Source organism: Homo sapiens, chromosome 4, assembly GCF_000001405.40.
Source record: "Homo sapiens chromosome 4, GRCh38.p14 Primary Assembly".
NCBI lineage: Eukaryota > Metazoa > Chordata > Mammalia > Primates > Hominidae > Homo > Homo sapiens.
In genome coordinates, this window is record NC_000004.12 from 148,443,017 (window position 1) to 148,468,237 (window position 25,221).

At 41.8% G+C, this 25,221-nt stretch overlaps 1 protein-coding gene across 4 annotated transcripts in view, besides 3 other annotated features; it reads right to left on the reverse strand.

The window, feature by feature from the left end:
* NR3C2 (nuclear receptor subfamily 3 group C member 2) overlaps window positions 1-2,306 on the reverse strand; it is a 366,559-nt gene extending 364,253 nt beyond the window's left edge. Inside the window, exon 1 of one of the 4 annotated variants that reach the window (NM_001437655.1) lies at window positions 2,184-2,306. The gene's annotated coding sequence lies outside the window, so the exon portion shown is untranslated. Of the gene's footprint in view, window positions 1-67; window positions 118-1,509; window positions 1,692-2,183 lie in introns of those variants that run through there. The other 3 variants (NM_001437654.1, NM_001354819.1, NM_001437656.1) reach the window with 3 other exon arrangements.
* Window positions 1,532-1,621: an enhancer, noted in NCBI's record as "active region_22013". NCBI's record gives its function as "activates an Ori minimal core promoter by ATAC-STARR-seq in GM12878 lymphoblastoid cells {active_cell/tissue: GM12878}" and the evidence as "EXISTENCE:reporter gene assay evidence [ECO:0000049][PMID:35858748]".
* Window positions 1,782-1,831: a silencer, noted in NCBI's record as "silent region_15745". NCBI's record gives its function as "represses an Ori minimal core promoter by ATAC-STARR-seq in GM12878 lymphoblastoid cells {active_cell/tissue: GM12878}" and the evidence as "EXISTENCE:reporter gene assay evidence [ECO:0000049][PMID:35858748]".
* Window positions 2,592-2,731: a silencer, noted in NCBI's record as "silent region_15746". NCBI's record gives its function as "represses an Ori minimal core promoter by ATAC-STARR-seq in GM12878 lymphoblastoid cells {active_cell/tissue: GM12878}" and the evidence as "EXISTENCE:reporter gene assay evidence [ECO:0000049][PMID:35858748]".

The following is a 25,221-nucleotide window of genomic DNA, read 5'->3' on the forward strand; positions in this document are numbered from 1 at the left end:
TCTGGGTGGGCTTCACCCGACCCTCGAGGTTCCTCTCCCAGCCCCTTTCCACTGTCTCCAGAGTTACCTCTCAGCAGAGCAGCAGCAGCCTTCGCTGCCAGCGAGCAAGACGATCACGTTCACTCGATTTGAATTTAGTTGTTTTAACCGTGCTGGAAAAACCCTTTAAACACAGCTTTCCTCCCATCCCTTAGACCCCTAACACCAAAAAAAAAAAAAAAAAAAAAAAAAAAAAAAAGAGAGAGAGAGAAAGATAAATGAAAGAAGTGGCAGGGTCAAGAGCTGCTCCTCTACTTCCTTATAATTTTGTCACTGTACTTACTACTTTAGTATTGGATTTTTCCACTAGTTCAATTTGAAAGCAAGCTTACCATCGAGGATATTCACGTTATAATGGGTGGAGGGGGTGGGTCACATAAGTGGGAGAAACAGACAGGAGGGGGGAAGGAACCAAACTGTTTTCTAAGGATCGGTTGTCTGCATGAAGAAATTTCGGTTTCCCTCCAACCGCCCCCTCCTCGATTCTCCTCCCGCCCACCCAAATGCTGCAGTTACTAAGCAAAAGGATGGGGTTCCTAACTTTGATTTCTAAGGACTTTTAGGCTTCTCATGTAAGGCCCCGTTTTAGGCTCCCCGCTGGCCCGGAGTCAGCATCAGTGACGTATACACCTAAATCTGGTCCCCCGGCCCTCGGCGACCCGCAGCCCGGCGGCGGCAGCTGTGCGGCCTCCCGCCTCACCCTCGCTTCGCGCCCGCCAAAGCCCGAGGCGGGGGACCGGGGGACACCCTGTGCCCAAAGGCCCCTCCTCTCCTTAACAGTTAGTTAAGCTCCGGGATTCCGGACCCCTAACCCAGGGCTGAGACTTGAACTCTCAGCCGCTCCAGTCAGGAACTCCCTGGAGATAGGGGCGACAGCGGCAGCGCCGCGAGCTGGTCCTGACCCCAGACTCTAATGCCCCTCGGTCCCCAGCTTGGAGCTGCCCCCGGCGTCCCCGCAGCCAGGAGTCCCCGCCGAGCGTCCCAACTTTCCCGCGGGGCCCACCGTCACGCGCACTCTCCCGGCCCAGCGAACTGGGCATCGATCTCACGTCGGCAGAGCGCGGGCGGCGGGCGGGAGCAAGGGGAGTCCCGGACCTAGAGCCTGGGCACGCGAGGCGGCGGCGGCTCCGCAAGCGTTGCCGAATTATTCATTATTAAAGGAATGGACGTGTCTCTTTTACTAAGTTTTTATCTCCTTTGAGGAGGGCCGGTCTTGCCCTGGATCTCAGCTTCTTGCAAAATCTAGGTTAGAACCGTGCAGGGGCAGCCGCCGCGATCACTCGCCCGCCACCCAGCACCCTTGCCCCAGGGCCGCCAGCGGGCAACTCGTCTCCTGCCCGCATCCCACCTCCGCTCGCCAACCCGCGCCCTCTGCCCTGGGCGCGCAACCTGCCTTGCCCGGGGCCGCCCCTGCGCTCTCCGGACCCCCTCTCGCCGCTGTCAGCGCAAAGTGACTGTCGCTGCACTCACCTTTTCTAGGACATGGTGGGGAGGCTGGGGCGGGGGAAGGGGAACGGCTAGACTCCCGCCGCCGCTGCTGCCGCCGCCACCAGCAAGTCCAATATTGGCTGATCGGCGGTGAGGATGGAGAGGATGATAATCCCGGCAGTGGCAGTCGCCCTGCTGACGGTGGGTAGAGCAATAGTGCTGTTACCCTACAAGAGGCGGCGAGGCAGCGGCGCCAAATCGCGCAGAGGGGGACGCGGGCACCCGCCCGCCCCCAGCGGCGGCGGCCGGGCCTCTGGCGGGCCCCTCTCCCGGGGCTGCGCGTCCGCTCGGCGTTGACAGCGGCGTCCCTGGGAGCCGGGAAGTCCGGCAGGAGGATCCCGCGCCCGCCGCTCCGCAGCGCCACTCTCCGCGCCCCCTCCCCGGGCCCTGGGTGGCCGGTGACAGCTCCGGCGGCCGAGCGCGTGTGTGAGGGGGCGGTCGCAGGGGGAGCCTGCGCCCCCCTCCCCGGGTCACGCCCTCACGAGCGGGAGGAGGCGGCACCGCGTCCGGCCACCCGCGGGTGGGAAACGGGCAGGGGCGCCGGCAGCCGCCCTCCCACTACGGCCACTGACAACCTGGAGGCCAAAGGAAAACTGAGCCCAAATGCACGCACCCCCTTCAGCCCTGCCCGCAGCCCTCCAAAGTCCGGCCCTGACCTCGCGCCCGGCTTCAGGTGCAGTTCCCACCTGCGGGGGGAGGCGAGGGCTGGGGACCTCGCGCGGGGGGCGGGAGGGAAAAGTTTTCTTTTCCTGCTCCTCGGCTGCCCACCCCGCCAGGCTGCTCCTCTCCCCGCCCCTCTCGGGCTCGCCGCGCCTCTGCCCCACCCCCGCCGTGGGGGGGCGCCGAGGAGGGAGCGGGCGTCTGTGCGCGGAGGCGTGCGGGGAGCTGGCTGGGGCGCTGCGGTCGCGACCGGTCCCCTCGCTCTGACGGCGGCTCAGACGCCCGCGGAGGCGGCTCGGCGGGGCAAGCCGAGGAAGGGGCCGAGAGCCGGGACCCCTCCTCCTCCGCTCGCGGCGCGCCGCGCGCCCCCGCGTCTCCTGGCGCGCCCCCGCGCCCTCGTGCCCGCTCGGGCAGACACCTACGCAGACGCGAAAGTGAAAGGGGGGCGACTGGGCCCGGCAGGCGGGCGGCCGGCGGCGCGCGGGCACGCGGCAGGGGACAGAGGATGGATGGGTGAACCCGGATCCCGGGATTCTCCCGCGCCCGCTGCCCCTCTGCGGAGCCTCCCCGGAGTCCCACGCCCCCACCCCGGCCACGGAGATCACCACGTCAGGAGATATGTATGCGTGTGCATGTGTGTGCGCGCGTGTTCACGCGCGTGTGCGAGGTACGCTTCTGCCCCAGACTCTTCCCCCGCACCGTTACACACACCCTTAGATGGAAGATTGGGGGTTTGGGAGGGGGGAGAAGTGTGAGTGTCACTACCAGTTAACCGGCTCCCCTGCTGTGGTCCCTTTTGACTCAGTTAAACCCCACCAACTGACCACACACACACCCCTTTTCTGGCTTAACACTCCTTTTTCTGCAGGCTCTATTGCCCCCTTCCACCCCCGCCCTTCTTTGGGTTCTTTCCCGTTTTATTCCTAAATAGCTGTGAAAGTTGCTAATCCCTTCCCACATAGACCCGTGTTAAACACCGAGGTGCCCTGTTAAAACAATCACTGCCTTTCTCCTTCCACATTCCCACTGTCCTGACAGCGAGCTTCCCATTGCCTCCATCACCTACACAGTTTTGGCACGACTCGGTTCTTAGCTGGCTCAAGGTAACAATTTGGCCTCTAGTAAAACAACCTTTTGGCTTTTCTTATTTGTAGGAAAGGCTTCTAGGTTCATATTTACTGCATTCTTAAGGTATATCTTAAGATGGTGATCAAGAAAATATTTACGTATCAGATATTTTGAAAAATAACATTCAGTGAGTTTTAAAAAGAACCATTTGGAAGTGTACTGATGTCTGCAAACTAATTTGGAAGTGCGTGCATCAAAAATAAAATGCAGCAACATTGGTGGATTGATAAAATGGACAGAAGGATGGATAGATATGTGATAAAACATGTTGATAATGCAATATTAATAGTAGAATATAAGTGCTAAGTATACAGGTGTTCACTGTAAAGTTCCTTCAGCTTTTTTGTGTGTTTGAAATTTTTCATAACACAATGTTGGATAAAAAGAACCCCCCCACTTAAGGTAACCTATATAATGTAAATTGTTTCCAAAACTTACAAATTGGGCATTGATTATTGTTTCCTCCTTTACAAAATGATTTTCTATAACAATTCTTAAGCTAGGTACTCCCACCACTATTTTAATCAATGATTTCAATTAAGGACAATTTGATCAAATTAGGGTGTACAGTGGGGTTATTATAACTGCAACATTTTAGAAATTTATAAGGTTTCTTCCTGTGTTTCTTTTGTCCATTTTATACATACACACACACACACACACATACACACACACACACAAACTGTTCTCAAATTTTCATCTTCCCTGCTTTTAAAACAGTTTGGTATTACAAAGCTAAGATTGAATTTTTAAGCAGATATGGATATTCTTTTGAAACTTTTTCACAAAATAGCTTGTGGGGAGTCCATTTGCCCTTATTTACAGTATCAGCTTATCTTACCCCTTGGGAGAGATGTTAGGGGATCTTGCAATTATTAATAGGCAAAGCTTTATTTGTTTTTTGGTATCTGAGTCTTTAAACATTTGCCCAAATATTTGAATGATTAAGTTTCCCCTGGGTAAACCACTTTTATATTTTCCTCTGCTGAGAGACAAAAGGTGGTCCTGTGACACCCTGAAAAGTGAACAACTTTGGGATAAGATCTGAGTCTCCCTCATCTGAAGAGAAGGTGGCACTGGTTTTGCTTGGAATCACCCCACAAGTGATGCCTCAGAGGGATCTCTTCAAAGAAGATGGGTTTTTAGAAGCTTAGGAATACTCTTCATTCCAATGCCCATTCATAGAGAGCCCGATCAACTCAGAAATATGTGTGCCTAGTAAATGTCAATATTTAGTTGTTTTCTGAGATGTCCCTTAACAAAGTTTGTTGCTTTCGTCTTTTTATGTAAGTGTATTTTTTCCTTGCAAAAGGATAGAAATTTTTTCAAGAAAAATAAAAGGGAGAATTATCGTACGGAAAAGGACGTTAACTTCGTCTCCTATGTAGCTGCCAAATAGCTGAAAGCTTGAAGCAGCATCAGACATCTCCCTTTTGACAATTGCTCTCCCTCTATTCACAGTCGCTGAACCTCAGGACACCTCCCTCCCCCCCATCCCATTAATGTCAAACTCCCTGAGGTTTGCCACTAAAGTGCACGACTCAGCGTTTGCAATTTACATGTGTGACATCACATCCTCTATTATGTAACTTCAGATACAAAGCCTAATATCATCTAAGTTTGTGTTGGAAAAAAATCCTCCCTAGCTCTCTATTTCAGCTTTAGCAGAACCACCCCTTAGTTCTCTGCTCCGAATCCATTCCTTCAACAGCTGACACTGAGGGGTGGGGGGAAAGCCATGGAGTTAAGCTGTAAAATTATAAGCCAAAAAAAAAATTGAACATGTATATGTTGAAATGTATTATGTACTTCTCCATTATCTATTTACTGACAAGAAAGTAAAGACCAATAGGTATCATATAATTTAATCATATTCAATAATTTTTAAAAGTTAAAGGCTAAGCATTTGGTCCTAGTTAACTTCATTAATAAGCCTAGCCATGCTGGCATTTTTTTTTATTTCTTTCTAAAAAGCTGGGATTTTTTTTTTTTTTCAGTCTCTTACCAGCTGTTGGAAAGAGTTGAGAAAGACAGGGAGAGTCAGAAAGAGAAAGGAGGGGGGTGTTGGAGAGAGAAGATGAATAGAGGAATAATATAAGATAAAACTTCTTCTTTGTTTATTGCAAAGCACACATGTTACAGTTTATAAACACTGCAAGTAAATAAGAAATTGTAGACCAGAAGATAAATACAAAACATATCAGGGTTTTTGTTAATATCCAAAATAGCCCAAACTCAATTTTCTAGACTACTTGGAATATTTGTATTAGCTTTGGTTATTCATTAATTTCTGTATTTGTTTACCTTATTATTTATTCATCTGGCTACCTTAATTCCATCTGTAGTCATTTTAAATAGAAAATATGCAAACTTAATACATTTTTATGGCCAGATTTTGAGATGACAGAGCACCAAACAGCACATGCATCACAATTAGTATGCCATATTATTAGAAGCAAATCAGATTTCACCGTGCCTACACTGATGTTCTAAATTTAGAAATAATGTACAGTAGTTGAAAAAGGGGAGGAACTTAGAGCAGTATATTTTAATAAAAATAAAGACATTTTCAATTTCTCCTCTTTTTTTCATATATTCTTGGTTTAGTACAAGAAATTCATCACCTTTAAATAACTGTGCTAATCTTACATAAATAATTGCATGATTTGTGTGCTCATTAAAATTATGCCTTGAAGCTGTTTCTGCAATATTATGTACAGTAACAACCGCAAAAAAAGTGAGACAATCCAATGGGTCAGGTGTGGGAAATGTAAGTCTCTGTTGAACTTGATGAAACACTCATTTAGAATTTCTCATTAGGACTTCACAGGAGCAGTTAGCTTTTCAGTAGTTGGCACTATATTTTTAGCAACATTTTAACAGCTGTCAGTAGCAACTAAGACAACATCTTTGTCAACACTATTTTTTAAACTCTAGCAAAGATGATTGCAAAAAAATGCTTCAGGATTTAATCTTTAGCCATAAAAAAAGTTAGTGTGATATAAAATATTATTAATGCATTGCGGCAGGCAATAAGGTATCCACATAAAACGAGTCCACTTGAATTTTTATATTTTAATTTTCTCAACCCGGGCAACATAGCAAGACCCTGTCTCTAAAAAATAGTTTAAAAAATTAGTTGAGTGTGGTGACATGCACCTATAGTCCCAGCTACTTGGGCAGTTGAGGCAGGAGGATAGATTGAGCCTAGGAGGTTGAGGCTGCAGTAAGCCATAATCGCACCACCGTACTCCAGCCTGGGCAACACAGTAAGACCCTGTCTCAAAAACAAAACAAAACAAAAATTAATTTTCTGATGCCTAAGTATACATAAGAAAGATAATTTAAAAAGATAATTCTTAAAATGTGTGTTCAGTGTCAGAAACAGACACTATAATTCTAGGTTAAGAATAGCCATGTAGATAGCCAAAGTGAATAAAACCTTCTCCCTAACATTAGAGTTAATAGAGGGAGGTTATCACATGTCAGATATATGACACTGGAAGCAGCAAACAAAAAATGTAAGAAGCTTCATGACAGATGTCATCTTTATTCCTAAAGATAGAGGTAAATTTGCTATGGGTAATGCATTACAAAACAAACTAAAACTAAATATCTGCAAGTGTCAAATTTCCCTTTCACCTATAGTCTTCCCAAATCGAGTGATTTTTGTTACATGAGAAGTAGGGGTAATGGTATAATATTAGAGAAGCCTACTGAATCCTCTTATTCATAGGTCATCTGCTCATTTCGAAGACCTAATCCAACTTTTGAGTTTGTCCCAAGTAAGGCAGCTGAGTATTTCCTACTTCATCTAACTGGCACAGTGGAGAGTTTATGCATTCTTATATCAAATGATATTTTTATTATATTGCATTTGTGTTCTCTAATCCTTTTGGGGTTGCTAATCTATTAGCTCTTTCAATATGAAGCATTTTTTAATTGCTTCTTGGGATTTTTTTTTTCAAAAGACATGTACAGTTTTAGTAAAAGTCAAGGTTAGCTATCCCTTCCTCTAACCAGGTGCAAATCTTTCAATGCTGATAGTTTTTCACAGAGTACTATATAGTTTTATTAATATGTACATTTTGACATTGAATATCCATGTTTAAAATGTTTAAATGTTTAAAATGAACACTTTCTATATGGAAGGTATATGACATGTCAATTCTTAAATATTTAAACTATAAGCTATTTTGAAGTAGTTAGTGCTAGTTATAACTAGACCTTAATATTTTATCAAAACAAGTAGACATGTTTAGAAATAAACCTAGTTTAGTACTTTAAAAAATTTCTTGCCGGGCATGGTGGCTCACACCTATAATCCCAGCACTTTGGGAGGCTGAGGCAGGCAGATCACCTGAAGTCGGGAATTTGAGACAAGCCTGACCAACATGGAGAAACCCCATCTCTACTAAAACTGCAAAATTAGCCAGGCGTGGTGGTACATGCCTGTAATCCCAACTACTCGGGAGGCTGAGGCAGGAGAATTGCTTGAACCCGGGAGGCAGAGGTTGTGGTGAGCCGAGATCGCGCCATTGCACTCCAGCCTGGGCAGCTAAAGCAAAACTCCGACTCAAAAAAAAAATTTTAAATTTATATATATATATATATATATATATATATATATATATATATATTTAATGGTGTTTACCATGAATGTGGCAGAACCATATCTCGTAAGCAAAGGCTGGGTAGACTTAACAATGCTAATGTACGATGATAGTGTGATAGTGTTGATTGCTTCCTTGTGTAAAGGACCAAATAAGTACCTAAAGGGTTGGGATTTTACTAGGACCATGTGTGCACGAAACATTTCCTTTTTTGTTTTTAATACAAGACACATAATTTTATAATAATTGCATATCTTAAAGAAGAAAAAATTCTAAGAAAATTATTTTTATAACATCATTTCAACATGATCAGTTGTATACTATTACCTTTTCATTTATAAATTATGTTGTTTTTATTTTGAATTTGAGTACCACTGAACGGATGTTTTGTCTGAAATATAATTAACAGTTTTCTAATTACCTTTATTTGTAAACAAAATTATTGTTATAATTCAGTAACAACTACCAAGGAACAAAATGCAATATCATATATACATATCTTTTTATCTACTATGTTATTTCCATGACATCACAAGACCAGTACTAGAAGGCAGGTAATGGTACCTTAACAAACAAACAAGCAATAGACCCGAGAAGTAAATCAAGGTAATCACAGCAAGTATACTCATGAAGAAACTCAACCAAACACTAAGTTTTGCAGAGAATTCAAAAAGCCCAAGGTGCAAGAAAGGGTCCTAAGTCTAGGTCTTCTTAATAAAAAGTCTAAGCAGAAATTTTCAGCCTAGAGATGTGTTTTACACAGGTTCTTTTCACAGGACAAGCAAATCAAGCAGTACAGTAGAGTCAGATTGAATGGCTTTGAATTCTGGCTTCGTCACTTACTTATGACCCACGTCAAATAACTTATTCTAAGTTTAAGTTTCTTTATTTGGGAAACATTGTTTTTTTTTTTTTTTTATTGAGATGGGATCTCGCTCAGCCACCCAGGATGGAGTGCAGTGGTGTGATCTCGGCTCACTGCGATCACCATCTCCCAGGTTCAAACGATTCCCCCATCTCAGCCTCCTGAGTAGCTGGGATTACAGGCACTTGCCATCATGCCCGGCTAATTTTTGTATTTTAGTAGAGATGGGGTTTCACCGTGTTGGACAGGCTGGTCTTGAACTCCTGACCTCAGGTGATCCGCCAGCCTCAGCCTCCCAAAGTGCTAGGATTACAGGTGTGAGCCACCACGTCCAGCCATGTATTGACTATTGATACTACAATGGGATAAGTACTTACCACAGTACATGTATCTGGTTATTGCACTCAAAAAATCTTACCTGTCTACACTTGAAAGTTTGTTACAGAAAACCAAGACCGTATTTCTCTGGGAAATACTTCTTTGGGAGATTGAAGATCACACTGCCAATTCAAAGGGTTTTTGAGGTCCCTTGAGAATCAAAGCCTGAGCTTGGGTCCTCAAGCACTTCACACATCTAAGAATCAAGAACAATGATTCTCCAATTTTAGCATGCATCAGAGTCTCCTGGAGAACATGGTAAAAGAGCATGCTGGGCCTCACCCCCTAGAGTATCCCGTTCAGTAGGTCTTGGGTGGAGTCTAAGAATTTGCATTTCTAACAAGTTCCCAGGTTGATGTGGATGGGGCTGGTCTGGGGACTACACTTTGAGAACCATTGCCCTAGAGTATAGCAAACAAAATAATTGCCCTTAAGTTGCTCGTTTGCAGAGTTTAAGTTATCACTGGCACCTTCTGCTGGGAGTCAGGGAGAAGCAGGAGTTAATAGAAGAAAGCAAGTGTCTTGTAGTGAAAAAAAAAAGCGGGGGGCTTTCACAGTCACATAATCATTGGCATAAGGGGACTGGCTAGCTGAACTCGAAGTTGAGGACTTCCCTCTCTCTTTCTTTACACAGCCCTCAGACTATATGTTGATTTTTTTTAATGACTCCTTGATTCTTTCCCCGAATCAGTATTTGGGAAGTACTTTACCATTTTCAGCCTCTTAAAGTACCTATTATTTTATTATATTTTAAGGCACTAATTAACTTTGAATTATTTGGAGAAGTTGAGAACTGATGAACTTCATTCCTTCAGTTACGTTTTTTTTTTTTTTTTTTTTTTTTACAAAAAAAAGTAGGTTTTTTCTTTTGTAGGGACAGGGATCTTGCTGTGTTGACCAGGCTGGTCTAAAACTCCTGGGCTCAAGCAATCCTGCTGCCTTGCCCTCCCAAAATGCTGGAATTCCAGGCATGAGCCACCACATCCTGTCAGCTCAATTACCTTTCCAGACAGTTCACTGTGGTCAAGTTAGATCACTTTTCTCCCTCTGTCCTGAGTATGTCATAAAGATGGGCTCATTACTCTTGAGGTAGATTTTAACTAATGCTCCTTTTTCAGTTTTCACCTTATCAAAAGGGAGGCTTAGATCAATTAGATGTGATACTCTTTTAACAAAGCCAGTGGCCATTCCTAGCTTGTTTTCTTAATTTAATAACACATTTTTAAATTGTGGTAAAATACACAAAACATGAAGTTTACCACCTTTACCATTTTTAGGTGTACCGTTCGGTGGTATTAAGTACATTCATATTGCTGTGCAACCATTACCACCATCCAATTCAGAACTCCTTTCATCTTGCAAACAGAACATTCCTAGGATTTGACCAACTGTTGTGTGAGAGGATTTCCATATTTTTTCTCAGGTACCCAAGCCTCTGTTTACTTCTATAACAATTTTATCCCTTTATTAGGAAACAATGTTGACATCGTAGGATTTTACTTCTTTGAGAAGTTGAAAAATGAAATTCAATCAAGATAAATAAAATTTGTTTTTATACAGGCAGACCTGATGAATAATCAAAGAAATTCAACAGAAATAAAATAAAGCTTCATTCCTAGTGTTTCTTAAAATCAAACTTGAAGTAAGCAGCATTTAAAAAGGAATGCCCAATATTTCGCTTGTGAGGAAAGTCGGTATTATAATTAGTAGTAATCTCTGATTGGAGCATTATCCAGAGATAATCCATACATTGTGGAAACAGTTCTGAAAGAAAGATAAACATCATTAACAGTTTTTGAAAGGAAGGCTTACTTGGAAAAAAATCAGATTTCTTTAACGTGATAGTGACATCATAGAAAGCTAATTGTAACAAATCAAGTAGCCCATTGAATTTTATTTTTTGCAATTGTAAAAGTCACTTAGAGTTTTTGATGGCTTCTTTACAAATATTGTTATATTCATATTTAATTACAAATATTAAGCATAAAATATCTCATACGTTTATGAATGTTTTGTAAAATTTCAATGTTTCAAGCACACAAAAAAATTGAAAAACCCACAGGCTCCAAAGTAGTCACCACCCTCATATTACCAGTTGTGAACATTTTGTCATATTTGCTATGGAAGTATAAAAACGCATAAAAGTGGCCAGGTGCAGTGGCTCACGCCTGTAATCCCAGCACTTTGGGAGGCCGAGGCAGGCAGATCACCTGAGGTCGGGAGTTCGAGACCAGCCTAACCAACATGGAGAAACCCAGTCTCTACTAAAAATACAAAATTAGCCTGGCGGGGTGGCGCATGCCTGTAATCCCAGCTACTCAGTTGCGGTGAACCTAGATCGAGCCATTGAACTCTAGCCTGGGCAACAAGAGCGAAACTCCTTTTAAAAAAAAAAACGCGTAAAAGTGATACGTTCCCATTTCTTGGTGGGGGCTACTGTTGGAGAGGGAGGGAGCAAAAACTACAGCGGGTTAGGGCTTTCATCACCTAGGAGTTTATATCCTTTGTTATAAGCCCTGAGTATTGCAGTCACTCCTTGCCCCAGATCTTGAGAAGAGGGAATCTCTTCTCAATATATCCAAAATGTGGCATGACTCCAGGCATTCAGGTCCAAACAACACTCAGATGGGGACTGCTACATAATCCAGCTCATGGTTTCAGATGAGGGGAGGAATTTAAAAAGCAACTGTTCCCTGTGAAAACAGCAATGAAGATGACCTTAGGGCAAGGAGAACTGCCTACCTAGGGGAATACAGATTCTTAGAGCAAGTCAAATTCAGTGCATTCCAATGACACTCTTTTTGGATCACTTTCCAATCTTCTTTCTTCTTAATTGACTCATCTTTTAGTCAACCAATGGCAGAGATAATGTAGATCATTGCATGCTGATCTGAAGTTATTAGCAGAACTATTCTGGTCAGCCCAAATTGTATGAATTGCTAAGTCATTTGACTGTCATCCTAGAAAAAAGTATTCAGTCCAGACTGGACAAGGCTTAGGAATTCAGTGAGTTTAACAACTCACTTTATTTGGCAATAAGCTAATCTTTTTTTTTTTTTTTTTTTTTTGAGACAGAGTCTCTCTGCGATGCCCAGGCTGGAGTGCAATGGCACAATTTCGGCTCACTGCAACCTCTGCTTCCTGGGTTCAAGCACTTCTCCTGCCTCAGCCTACCGAGTAGCTGGGATTACAGGCATGTGCCACCATGCCCGGCTAATTTTGTATTTTTAGTAGAGACGGGGTTTCTCCGTGTTGGCCAGGCTGGTTTCAAACTCCCAACCTCAGGTGATCTGCCCGCTTTGGCCTCCCAAAATTGCTGGGATTATAGATGTAAGCCACCGTGCCCGGCCCAATATGCTGATATTTAACCTAGAAATAATACTGAAGTGTTTCATATATACTGATGTATTAGGTATGGATAAAGCTCCTGTGAAAAGAGACTCTCCAAAAACTACAGAGGCTCAAATAGGAAAAGTTGAATTCTATACCACATAAAGTTGAGATAAATGAATGTGGGCCAGAGTGGGTAGGTGTTTCTGCTACATGAGGTCGTTCTCTTGTCTTTTCTTTTCTTTCTTTCTTTCCTTCCCTCCCTCCCTCCCTCTCTCTTTCTTTCTCTTTCTTTCATTCTTTCTTTCTTTTTCTCCTCTTTCTTTCTTTTTCTTTCTTTCTCTTCTCTCCTTCCTTCCTTCCTCCCTCCCTCCATCCCTCCTTCTCTCCTCTCCTCTCCTATTCTCTTTTCGTTTCTTTGGTTTTCTTTTTTTCACTCCTTGCAGAACTCAGTCTAATACATGAGGTCTTTAGGAAGCCAGGTTCCTTGTTGCTCCCCAGTTTCATAGAGTAATGACTTTATCTGTATGGTGGAGGCTGCCTTGCCAGCTCCATGGCCATAATTTTCTATTAAAAAGCAAAAACCTTGACTTGGTAATTTGCATTCGTTAGTTTTGCTTACATAGCATTAGCCAGAGCAAACCTCAAGGAAGGTTGATTTGGCCATGTTCCCTAATAAAACTAGAGTTCTACTATAAAAAGAAAAAGGCAAGCATAAATACAGGAGGGCAGTTAATGGCTTTTGCCATAAGTGCTGACCAGCTCTACTGGGCAGATAGGTTTGAACCATGGCATAAGATCTAATGTTATCGCTAAGGAGAGGTGTAAGAAATGATGAGTGGAGGGCGGGATGCATTCAGGGACTTCAGTGCAGACACTGGGATCTGGATTTACAATCTCCAAATCAAGGGAGGCCATCATTTGCAATAAACAGAGGTAGTGGAATCAGGTAGCTAAATATTCTGGTGAAGATGAGCTGATCTTTCATTGAGCCACATGTTAAGTTTGCAGGACAGGCTAGATTCAATTAATGGTTTTCTAAAGTGAGAAGAAACATACCCGATTCAAACCAGTCTCAAACAATAATCAGTGAAAGATAACAAGAATTTCAGCTATATGAGATTAATCAGCAGGGTTTGAAATGCAAGTAATACTATTCCATAAAGAGCCAAAAAAAAACCCCACAGATTTTAATCTACACTTGTCACAGGGAGAAAGCAAGTATTTGGGCCTCTGACTGAGTGTATGTTAGCACAGGGGAGAGTGTGCAGGAGGTTACAGTTTCCTTTAGTGTGCCTGCTGCAACACCATCGCACAAGGTTAGGGGTGGGCTGATGTACAATTGGTCAGTACTAGAACAGCCAGACTCTGTGCTTACAGCCAGTGTCCATTCTCATTGGCTGACACCCATACCTGGCCAGTCAGTGCCACCATACATGGTATTAAACATTGTCAACCTTACCCCAGCTTCCATGGGCTGTTCAGAATGTTCTTGAGAGACGTCTGGACCACAAGTGGCCAAGGAAAGAGTCCTAAGAAAAAAACTAGTAGTTTCTTTCCAAGATGCAAAAACTTGACCATTGGAATGGATACAAAGGAGAAGGAAAGAGACAACACCCAGATTTATTTGTCAGCCCCTGTTTGAGAGAAGTGTGAAAGGTCTGCAGAAAGCATACCCCATTCTGCTATTTTGGGTTTATATGCTATCCGGGATTTACTGGCCTTCCTGCAATTTTGGTGAATAATTCCAGATTTCCCATACATTCCAAATGCAGTATGTCTACTTTACTTGCAGAGTGCCAAACACTGATATAGGTTACAAAGGAAGTTATGAACTTCCTACTCTGGAGGAATTTAAAAGTAGAGTTTTCTTTGCCTGGAATGGCAAGGAGAAGAATGTGTAAGAAGAGTGATGGAGTAAGGTGTCTATCCATTTGGTTTAGCTTTTTAAATAATTACTTTGCACAGAAGAAATGAGATCAGGAAGAAAGAAAGGGCCAATATAGCCGATAAATTGGCGGGTAGTAAAGTACATTGGAACTTGGACATTTTTTGAAAAGTTGCCTCTGTGTCATATACCAGGTATCAGATAAAAGAAGAAACCCAGCAATGTTTGTCTTTTATAGTGGAAGTAAAGTATGAAGGTTAAAAGCATAGACCCTGGAGCCAGACTTGGCCTGGGTTTGGATCCCAGTTCTGCCACTGAGTAGCTGTGTGACTATGGGTCAATTACTTAAACCTTGTGCCTCAACCTCATCATCTGCAAAATCAGATAACACGGTTTACCTCATAAGGTTATTATGGAGATTAACAACCTATATAATGGCTGGCTTATAGTAAACAGTGTTAGCTATGATATTTTAAATATACTGTTAGTCCTAAACCATTTGCTCCTACAGCAGTACACTTTCCTATTCTCCGTTCACTTGGCATCTGACCTTATCAATAATTTCTCCTATTTTTTTTTTTTTGTATTTTCTTTGTTGGGTTATTTGGTATTCTGGGCTATCTGCCTGGCTTCCTCTCACTAATATTCAGGCATATCCTCTTCTGATGTCTCAACCCACCCATTGCAAAACATGCTCCTCTTATGGCACAGTTTTATTCCCTCAGTGTTCCATAAAATGAACCTGACTTCAACTTTTAGATAATATATATAGGGTTCTTTTGCTATTTGAAGAAGTAAACTCTTAGATGGTGTGAAACAGACAGTGCTATGGGTTCACCAAATTTGACTTCATTTTCCTCTTTTTGGGCACACAGGATGGCTACATGTTTCACCGTTGCTTGCATTTAGGTTGTGTCCAAATGATTGAGTGTAGATCCTGTTGTTTTGGTGGAAGCGATGTGTTCTACTTCCTGGACTGATCATAACCCGCCCCCACCCCGAATGATTGTCCAAGCTGTTTTCCCTTGTCATGAATGCCTGGGAGGCCTCACGTTTAGGATGGTAGCATCACAGTCTGAAATGGGATTGCACTCCTGCATCACCTCTTGGAGAAAAGCTACCAAAGACAGTTGCCTGCATTGCACTGGACTGGGATATGAGTCAGAAATAAATCTTTACTGTGTGCACCCCATGAGACATTGGGGTTTATATGTTAATGCATTGCCCTGATTAATTTACATGGTACAGAATAAGAAAATGGGGACAGAATGTAAGTCTATAGTGAGAGTATTATAGTGAAGTTCGAATGTATTTCTACTAGGAAACTATTACTGAACACATTATGGAGTGTCAAGTAGCTGAGCAGCGTGTCGTAGAGAAAAGAATATGGACTGTAGAATCCCACAGAACCAGATTCAAATTCTGTTCCAAACATGTGTAAGCTTTGACTTTCATATGTTCTGCCTCTAGAATCCAAATAATAATTTCTAATAGTATTATTGGATAAGTCAACTAAGACCCATTAGGTAAACTCTTCTATCTCCGTGCACTTCCCAGTACCCCAATATTTCTAATCCAGTGTTTAATTTCCAATCCAGATTCTACATTCTCAACTACTTTTTAGAAATTTTACTTCATAGGAGCATGGAACTAAAGTCTTGAAAACAAAGGGTAGTAATTTGGTCCAGAAAAAGTACCCATATCCTTAATTTGTGCCCAAATGAAAGAAAATCATTATAAAATTTTATGTGTCGAAAACAGTACTTAGTAGAGAACAATTTTCCCTTTATTTAGTGCATTATTCAGAAAGTTCCCGTTAAAAAGCCTATGCCATGCACCACAGCACAATTTTGAAAATATTGTATTTAATTAAAATGGGAATTTCTGAAATGATTACTATAGCATTTATCTTTCAAAACCTCACATACAGTTTTTGACCTATAAAATATTTATGAGTTAATTTGCCTTTTCCCCATGTTATGGCACACAAGAGCAGCTGAGACCCTGAAATTTCCTTTAACACAAGCTGCCTTTCTTTTAAAAAGTTGTGGTTTTAAGCAGCATATTTCCTCAGTACATATAGAATAAACTTCTCAGTTTTACTTACCCTGCCAGGAAGAGAAAGAGAGAAAGAGAAGAATCATGACCTGTAATATCATCTCAGCAATAAGAATAATCTCGATTTTAAATTATTGAGGGTGGGCCACTGGCAGAAACTGTGCCAACAAAGTTAGAGATACCTAGCGACCACTAAATTGTCAACCTTGCTGTTATACACTCACACACAGTCACTTTCACCACAGTATAAACACAGACTTCAAAGGCACACCTGCAAAAGCTGCCATTGTCACTTGCTGTTTAATATTTAAACAAAGTATTTAGAATTTATGGGATATACTTGGTAGCTTTTTAAATTAAAAAACCAAGTTAACATATATATTACTTAGTAAATTAACAGATAAATGTGCTTAGCTGCTAACATTTCACATTAGGCAAATAGAGAAAGAGAATTAACAATTCAACAGGTATTGCATTGTAAGTTTACAGACCTTGATTCTACACTGCACAGTAATATTTTTGAAAGATCAATACTGCAACCAACTAAGCTCTCTGTGGCACAGCTTTCCTTTTATAAAATTAGCAAACTTTTCAATTATCAAATAGATGTCCCTAAAAATTGATAAAGTAGCAATGTGATCTCTCAGTCCTCTTTACCTTTCTGATGCTTGCTCACCATTCCTTCTTTTCTCTTTCTTATCATCATCCCAGCCTGTAGTATCCCTCAAGGCTCTATCTCAATACCTCTACTTCTCTGCTACTCCCTCAGACCCTCTTCCCTGGTAATGTGGACTTGCATTTTACATAGAGTTTGGCCCTAAAATCATTAAGTGAGGTGAACATTCATATAAATTCAGAAATACCCTGGGGAAAAAAATCCCTTCATTCACTCTTAAAGTATAACATACATGGCTGTTTTTATGCGTCGTGTTTGAGGCTTCTATACCATCCAACTCAGCCAGTTTTTCCTCCAGCATTGGAACAGATTGCTGTTTTCTCAGCTAAACACCTGATAAAGTAGTTGGCTTGCATTTGGGGGCCATGTTGCACAAGGAAAAAAATTTATCTTTAAACACTTGAATCACACTCAACATGGTGAGATGCTCATACTATGAGAGCAATTCAGGAACTGAGACCAACTGAAGGAACATCAGATTCACATCTCCCTTCTCGCGCTCCTCTGGGGCATATGCTTTAGGGAACGTGGGACAGAATCACCCACACTATTTACATTCTCCTATTTCTCTCTTTCTCTTCCTGGCAGAGTTAGTATAATTGAGTATGGATGAGAACTTTATTCTATACGTATTGAGGAAATATGCTATTTAAAACCACAATTTAGAAGGGCAGCTCATGTAAAAGGAAGCTTTGAGGTCTCAGGTGCCTTTGTGTGCTGTAACAGAAATTTCCTTTGATAGAATGGAGGGGACACTTCATAGGTGGAAAACATACAAAGATGAAGAAGACTGCATATCTGGGAGTATGGAGAATGGAGAGAACTGATTTGCTGTATATCATGGTTTTGCAGTCTTGGCTCTATTGACATTTTGGATTGGATAGTCCCTTATTGTGGCTGGCTGTCCTGTGCATCCTGTGCATTGTAGGATGTTAAGCAGCATCCCCAGCTTCAACTCACTAGATGCTTGTAGTAATCTCACCAAAGTTACGGCAGTCAAAAATGTCTCCGGACATTGCCGAATCACCCTTTGTCAGTGTGTGTGTTGGGGGCAGAGGGAGGTATCACCCATGATTGAAAAACACTGCTCATTATAATAGAGTGAAGAGTTTGAAAGTTTTCAGGGGAAATTCTAAATGGGAGACATGAAAAGAGGATATGGAGATGGAGCTGGAGTTGGAGCAAGACTGGGCACTATGTTAGGTGAAGGGGCCTTGGAAAATCCTTTAGTCATGGGATGGTTGGAGGCTTATGTAATATATATGTCTAGGCTGGGTGCAGTGGCTCACTCTTGTAATCCCAACACTTTGGGAGGCCAAGGTGGGCAGATCACTTGAGGCCAGGAATTCAAGACTAGCCTGGGCAACATGGCAAAACCTCGTCTCTACTAAAAATACAAAAATTAGCCAGGTGTGGTGGTGCATGCCTGTAGTCCCAGCTACTAGGGAGGCTGAGGCATGAGAATGGCTTGAACTGGGAGGTGGAAGTTGCCATGAGCCGAGATGGCACCACTGCACTCCAGCCTGGGTGACAGCGAGACTCTGTATAATAAAAAAGAAAAGAAGAAAGGAAAAAAGAAAAATATATATATATACAATATATATGTCTAAAATCCCATTTGAAGCAGTTTCCTCTTATATGAGCCACCTTCCATTTCTCAAACCTCCAGTCAAGTCTATTGTAAATACTAACATCATATGAGAGCAATTAACCTATGGCTATCAAGGAGGAGAATGAGTCCCCTATCTGGGCTGACATGATGTGGAACAGGGACCCACATGGACAGTTTACTTAATTCAGATGAAATGGCATCTTGGACCCAACTACAACCAACAAGGATGACACAAAAGCCTTTGACTTTCCATGAGGCATGGATTATGGGTTTGAACGCTCTTATCTGGATCTTTGAGGTGTGGAGGCTTCTCAGTGACACCATGAGTGGTTTCATGACTCCATGACTTGTGGCTTCCATAGGCCAGGGGTCCCCAGGGGACTGGTACCGGTCCATGGCCTGTTAGGAACCAGGCCACACAGCAGGAGGTAGGCAGCGGGGGAGCCAGCATTACTGTCTGAGCTCCACCTCCTGCCAGATCACCTGTGGCATGAGATTCTCACAGGAGCATGAACCCTATTGTGAACTGCACATGCGACGGATCCAGGTTGCTTTCTTCTTATGAGAATCTACCTAATGCCTGATAATCTGAGGTGGAAGAGTTTTATCCCGAAACCATCCCACCACCCCGGAAAAATTGTCTTCAATGAAACCAGTCTCTGGTGCCAAAAAGGTTGGGGACCACTGCCATAGACCATACAGAGCCACCACCAACCTCTGCAAGGGTTAATGTGGGAGGAAAAGAAGATGTTCTTCTCCTCTACCCATATCTCTCATGGGATTAGGATTGGAATTTCTTCCAGAAATGGGAGGTGATCCCTTCTCATTGTGAGGATGATCTTTACCTTGTAAGGTGAATCTGCCCCAAGACACTGCTAATTTTCCTGCTCCTCACCCTCAAAATATTGCAGTCTCTTTGACTTCAGCTTAGTTCTTCCTCTATTACCTTATAAACATTGTCCCATAAAGTTGTGTATAAAAAATTTAGAACTGTCCCTTTGTCACGTCGCCTGGCCACAGGTATGGCAGGGTTCCACTTCTCTTGGCCCACTCCTCTTTTAGTCCCAGATTCATCCTGTCAAATATGAACTGTTTCCTGAACACATTCTGCTCTTGAGCACTCCCATGCTATTGGCTCAAGCTGCCCCTCTGTATAGAAAGCCTTTCTTTGCCATATCTTCAGGTCTTAATTTGATCTATTCTATTCTACTTTAAAATATTGGTCCAATGATACTATTTTTTTTAGTAAGGTAAACTCTGAACTCACAGAATTTTATTTATGCCTCCTTAATGGCATTATCATTTTTCTCCATTGTAATAGCTATTTGTGTACATAGTGTACAGAAATAGCTCCTAGACTCAGAGCTGTTTGAAAACAAGAACTATGTCTTAACATAATAATTGGTTCATAACAGCTGTTATGTAGTTGATTTTAATATTTTTCCCTTTTTCTCAAAAAGAATTTAAGGTGGCTTAAAAGAAGGCACAAAATGTTGGGTAATGACTTAAATTAGAAAAAAAGTGAGGAAAAAATAAGGAAGATGTAATAGAAACTTAAGAATAGTAGGTTGTCAGCTGGGCACGCTGTGGCTCATGCCTGCAATCCCAGCACTTTGGGAGGGAGTGGTGGGAGGATCGCTTAATGCCAGGAGTTCAAGACCAGCCTCAGTATCAGGAAAACTTCATCTCTTAAAAAAAAAAAAAAAAATTAGTTGGGCATGGTGGTGCATGCTTGTAGTCCTAACTACTAGAGAGGGTGAGGTGGAAGGATCGCTCGATCCCAGGAGTTTGAGGCTGCAGTGAGCTATGATTGTGCCATTGCATGCCAGCCTGGGTGGCAGAGTAATACCCTTTCTCTAAAAGAGAGAAAGAATAGTAGATTGTCAACAAAAAACGCTTACTGAAGAATAAATAAATTTTCCTTATATAAATTTTGTCAGTGGGTCCAATCTTAGAAACAAACTGTAGTTGCTTCCTTATTCACAACTTTTCCCCTAATAGTGATGTCTGGATTTGAGGAAGGGAAAACATAGGGAATAAAGAAGTGGAGTGAGATACTTTTTCACTCTCTATTTTCTCCCTTCCGCAGATCTGGTCGTGCTTTACTTATTATGTGGTCCATTAGGAACTGCTGTCTTTCTCCATGAACTTACCTTCCTGAATACCATGATGCTTTTAGGAATGGGCACTTGGTTCAACCAGGACAAATGGAATCTTTCTCTTGATTTTTTGGAGCTGAAGAACGAGGTAAAAGCCTTTTCCCCATGGATAGTGAGCCAGAAATCTGCTGAATCACTCCAGCCCCTGGGTAAAGAAAGCACATTTTCAGGAGAAGAAATTAAAACCAACCTATACAGAGAAGCAGAGATCAGAAACAGACAATTCTGATAGTATTTGGACCCCTGGTTCTTTTTTCTGAGACCACTCCCAAAGCTTCCTTGCTTTCCAAAGCATATTTGTTAGAGCATCTTCTGGTTCTTATTGGATAAGGTCCAAACTCTTGAGTCTGACAATCTTGCATTTCCAGCACCAGTCAGCCTTATTTTGCTTCTAGCTTCCCAGTCAAGAGTTGCCTTCTACCAGATGCCACGCTCATTTTCAGTTGTGTGGTTTTCTTGAATGACTTCTTGCCTCCTCTCTCTGTAATACTAATTATTGCCTTTCTTCAGGGTCTAGTTCAACATCTATCTGCTCTATTAAAGCCCTTCTTGATTGATCTTTTCCTTCTCTGAACTATGGTAGCCTTTTTATTCCCAGCTTTTCTACATGGTCTGAAACATATTTATCTTTCTGCCTTGGTTTCTTTTGCTATGTATTTTGTGTGTAAGATTTTTTTTCGTGTGTTTATTTACTTAAAAACTTGTACCAGTTATCAGTTATCTTGGGACATAGTACTAACTATAAATGCAATTAAAAGTCTGAGAAGAAAGATAATTGGAGATTGGAAGTCAAATAAGTTTCTTGGAGGAACTCTGTCTCTCACTAGAATTTGAGAACAAGCAGTATTTGGTAGGTATAGAGGAGAATGGAGGGTGTTTTAGGTGGGAACAGTGGCATCAAAAAGGACACTGAGATGAGACTCTCATCTGAGATGAGACCAGTTACTTATGCCTTGATTTGTTTGGGCATGACCATTTTGGGTGAGGAGTAGAGGAGAATTGAACTGATCTACATAAAAAAGAGAGCAGAATATGAGACTCTTGTAAGCAATCCAGAAGGGAGAAATGAGGACCAGAGTTGGAAGTTTGGGAGAAAGGAGGAGAGTGGAGCAGCGAGCACTGGGAGGTTGTGTATAACCCAATGTGATCATTCTCCATGTTCCCAATACCTCAGGAAATTAAAGCAAACTCATAAAGTGCTTGGAGAACATGCATATTTTATGGAAACTGATAATAGAGTTTTGACTTGTCAAGGGGGAAAACTGAGGAGACACACATGAATGCAGGTGCTGTAGGCAGAGTGGCCATGAAAGATAGCTGTCCTTGGGGATCTGCAGAAAGCATGAGGAGAGTTTCAAGACTTAACTGTCTGGATTTGGAGGTTCAAGCCAAACGGCAGCATGTCTCAACAATCATCTGGGTTATAAGTGTTTATTCATTTGGTAGTAGGCAAATTACTTTTGCCTTCCCATGTTGATGATAAGTCCCATGAGTAGAGTCCATGTTGTCTCTCCTGTCTCAAAGTCTCTCACACTGGGTCAAGCTCAAAGTAACTGTTTATATACCTTGTCTCTCCACTTTCCATTGCTTCTCTATATCAATGTTGGGCCGATAACTGGTACAATTTTGCTTTTATCAAGTCGGTTTCCAGATCTATAGAAGAAAAAGAAGCAAAAAGAGGAGAGGGGAAGAGGAGGGCCCTGTAATTGTTCTCTGGATGTTAAACTCCTGATGGTGGCCAGATTCCTCCATTATCTGGCTTCATTCCGTTTATCTAACCTCATCTGCTTTTGCCCACATGGTTCTCTTTTCCAGGAATATCGAGTTCCACTCTGTCTACTCACATAGCATGAAGAGTCTCATCTCAGTGTCCTTTTTGATGCTGCTGTTCCCACCTGAAACACCCTCCACTCTCCTCTCTACCTACCAAATCCTGCTTGTTCTCAAATTCTAGCGAGAGACGGAGTTCCCCTAAGAAATCTATTTGATTTCCATTTTAATTGCATTTATAGTTAGTACTATGTCCAATGACATTCATTATTGTTCTCTTGGTGATTTTATGATGGCCAGTCTTCTCATAATCAGCTTGAGGACTAAAATAGTGACTTGTAATTTTCATGTAGTAGGTACTTAGTACTTACTCAGTGTTTTCTAAGTCCCTTCCCTAAATGAGTTCACCAAGGACAGGGGCTTTGTTTTGTTTCCTACTCTTCCCCCAAAGCCAGAACTTGCCTGGAAAATCGTGGGTACTCAGTGAATATTTATTGAATGAATTAATGAATGAATAACAGCCTGCCAACCTTTATGAGATCCAGCAGTGCAGAACAATCTGTTTTCTTTCCCACATACTATTTCAGACTTTTTCATCTCTCCCTTGACTCTATTACAATTCCTTTGTTGAATTTTTCAGCCTTTTAGATAATTTCAAATGCCACTACCTAGCTCCTTCAGTGTGGTGTCAGTCAGTCTTAAAGCACAGCACTTATTTCAAATCACATTTGTGCCAAATTTAGTCCATTTATACTGAAAGAGAAAACAGGGTAGCCATGTAGATGCATAACCTGCTCCTTCATGTCCACACTCCCTTGAGTGTATCACAATACAGAAAACATGGGACTTGGGCATGTATATAGCAAAATGGAATCTCTCTGGAGAGGTACCATTTTCATAAATGGAAATGTTCAATATCATAAAGATATCAATAATCCTCAAATTCATATATAAAAATCTGTTGCAAGTCCAATCAAAATCCCAACAGATAATTTTGTTTAGTGAAAATTAATAGATTGATTCCAAAATTCACTTGGAACAGAAGATTGTGAAAAGCCAAGACAGTTTTAAAGAAGAATGAAGGAAAGGCAATTTGGTTTTTCAGATACCAGGATTTATTGTGAAGTCATATTAATTAATTCAAAGTGATGTTAGTGCAAGGATAGCAAGCATACTAATTAAACAGAGCAGAGGGCCCAACATACATTTCTGTATCTACAGAAGTGACACTACAAATTAGTATAGGGCTGGTAGGCACAGTGGCTTTCGCCTGTAATCCCGGCGCTTTCGGAGGCAGAGGTGGGAGAATTGCTTGAGCCCGAGCATTTGAGACAAGGCCTGGTAAAGACAGTAAGACTTCGTCTCTACAAAAAATAAAAAAGTTAACTGAGCATGGTGGCATGCATCTGTAGTCCTAGCTATTTGGGAGGCTGATGGGAGGCTAGCTAGATGGGAGGCTTGAGCCAAGGAGTTTGAGACTTCAGTGAGCTATGATCATGCCACTGCACTCCAGCCAGGGTGACAGAGCGAGACCCCATTTCTAAACAAAAAAAATTAGCATGGAATAACAGGTTGGAAAAAATTGTGCTATAACAATTGGCTAAAAGTATAAAACAAAAGTATATCTACTGTATTATATATAAAAATAAAAAATTTCAGATGGATTAATTATGCAAATGTAAAAAGCAGAAACTATAAATACATTCAAGGAAAATACAGATTATTTTCAAGGTTTCAGATAGGGAAACATATTATAAACAACACAGAAAATGCATAAACCAAGAGAAAAAAGATGAATAAATTTGACCGCATTAAAATTTAAAGCTTATTTATAAAAAGACATCATAAAAAAATTAAAAGGCAAGTCACAGACAGAGAAGATATTTCAAGCATATATCTGATGAAGAATGATATCAGGAATATATATATTTTTAAGCTCAATAAGAAAAAGACAAGAATTAAATAGAAAAAAATGGGCAAGGGTATGAATAGGCAATTCACAGAAACAGAAAAACAAATCACCATTTATGTTATTCTCTGCTAGTATCCAGAGAACTACAACATCTAATAAAATTGAGAATACAGATCCCCTATTTTATTGCCATTCTTTTTTTTTTTTTTTTTTTTTTTTTTCAGAGATGGAGTCTTGCTCTGTCACCCAGGCTGGAGTGCAATGGTGTGATCTCAGCTCACTGCAACCTCTGCCTCCCGGATTCTAGCAATTCTCCTGCTTCAGCCTCCCAGGTAGCTGGGATTATAGGCACATGCTGCCACGCCCGGCTAATTTTTTTTATTTTTAGTAGAGACAAGGTTTCACCGTGTTGCCCAGGCTGGTCTCGAGCTCCTGAGCTCAGGCAGTCCACCTGGCTCAGCCTCCCAAAGTGCTAGGATTACAGGCGTGAGCCACTGCGCCTGGCCTGGCATTCTTTTTTAAGGTATATGTGTGTATTAGAAAAGCTCTTGTATATGTGAACAAGTAGTTATATCTCTGGAAGACTGTAATTGTAAAAAATTGGGAAAAACCCAAATTCCCACTAACAAAGGAATAGATAAATAA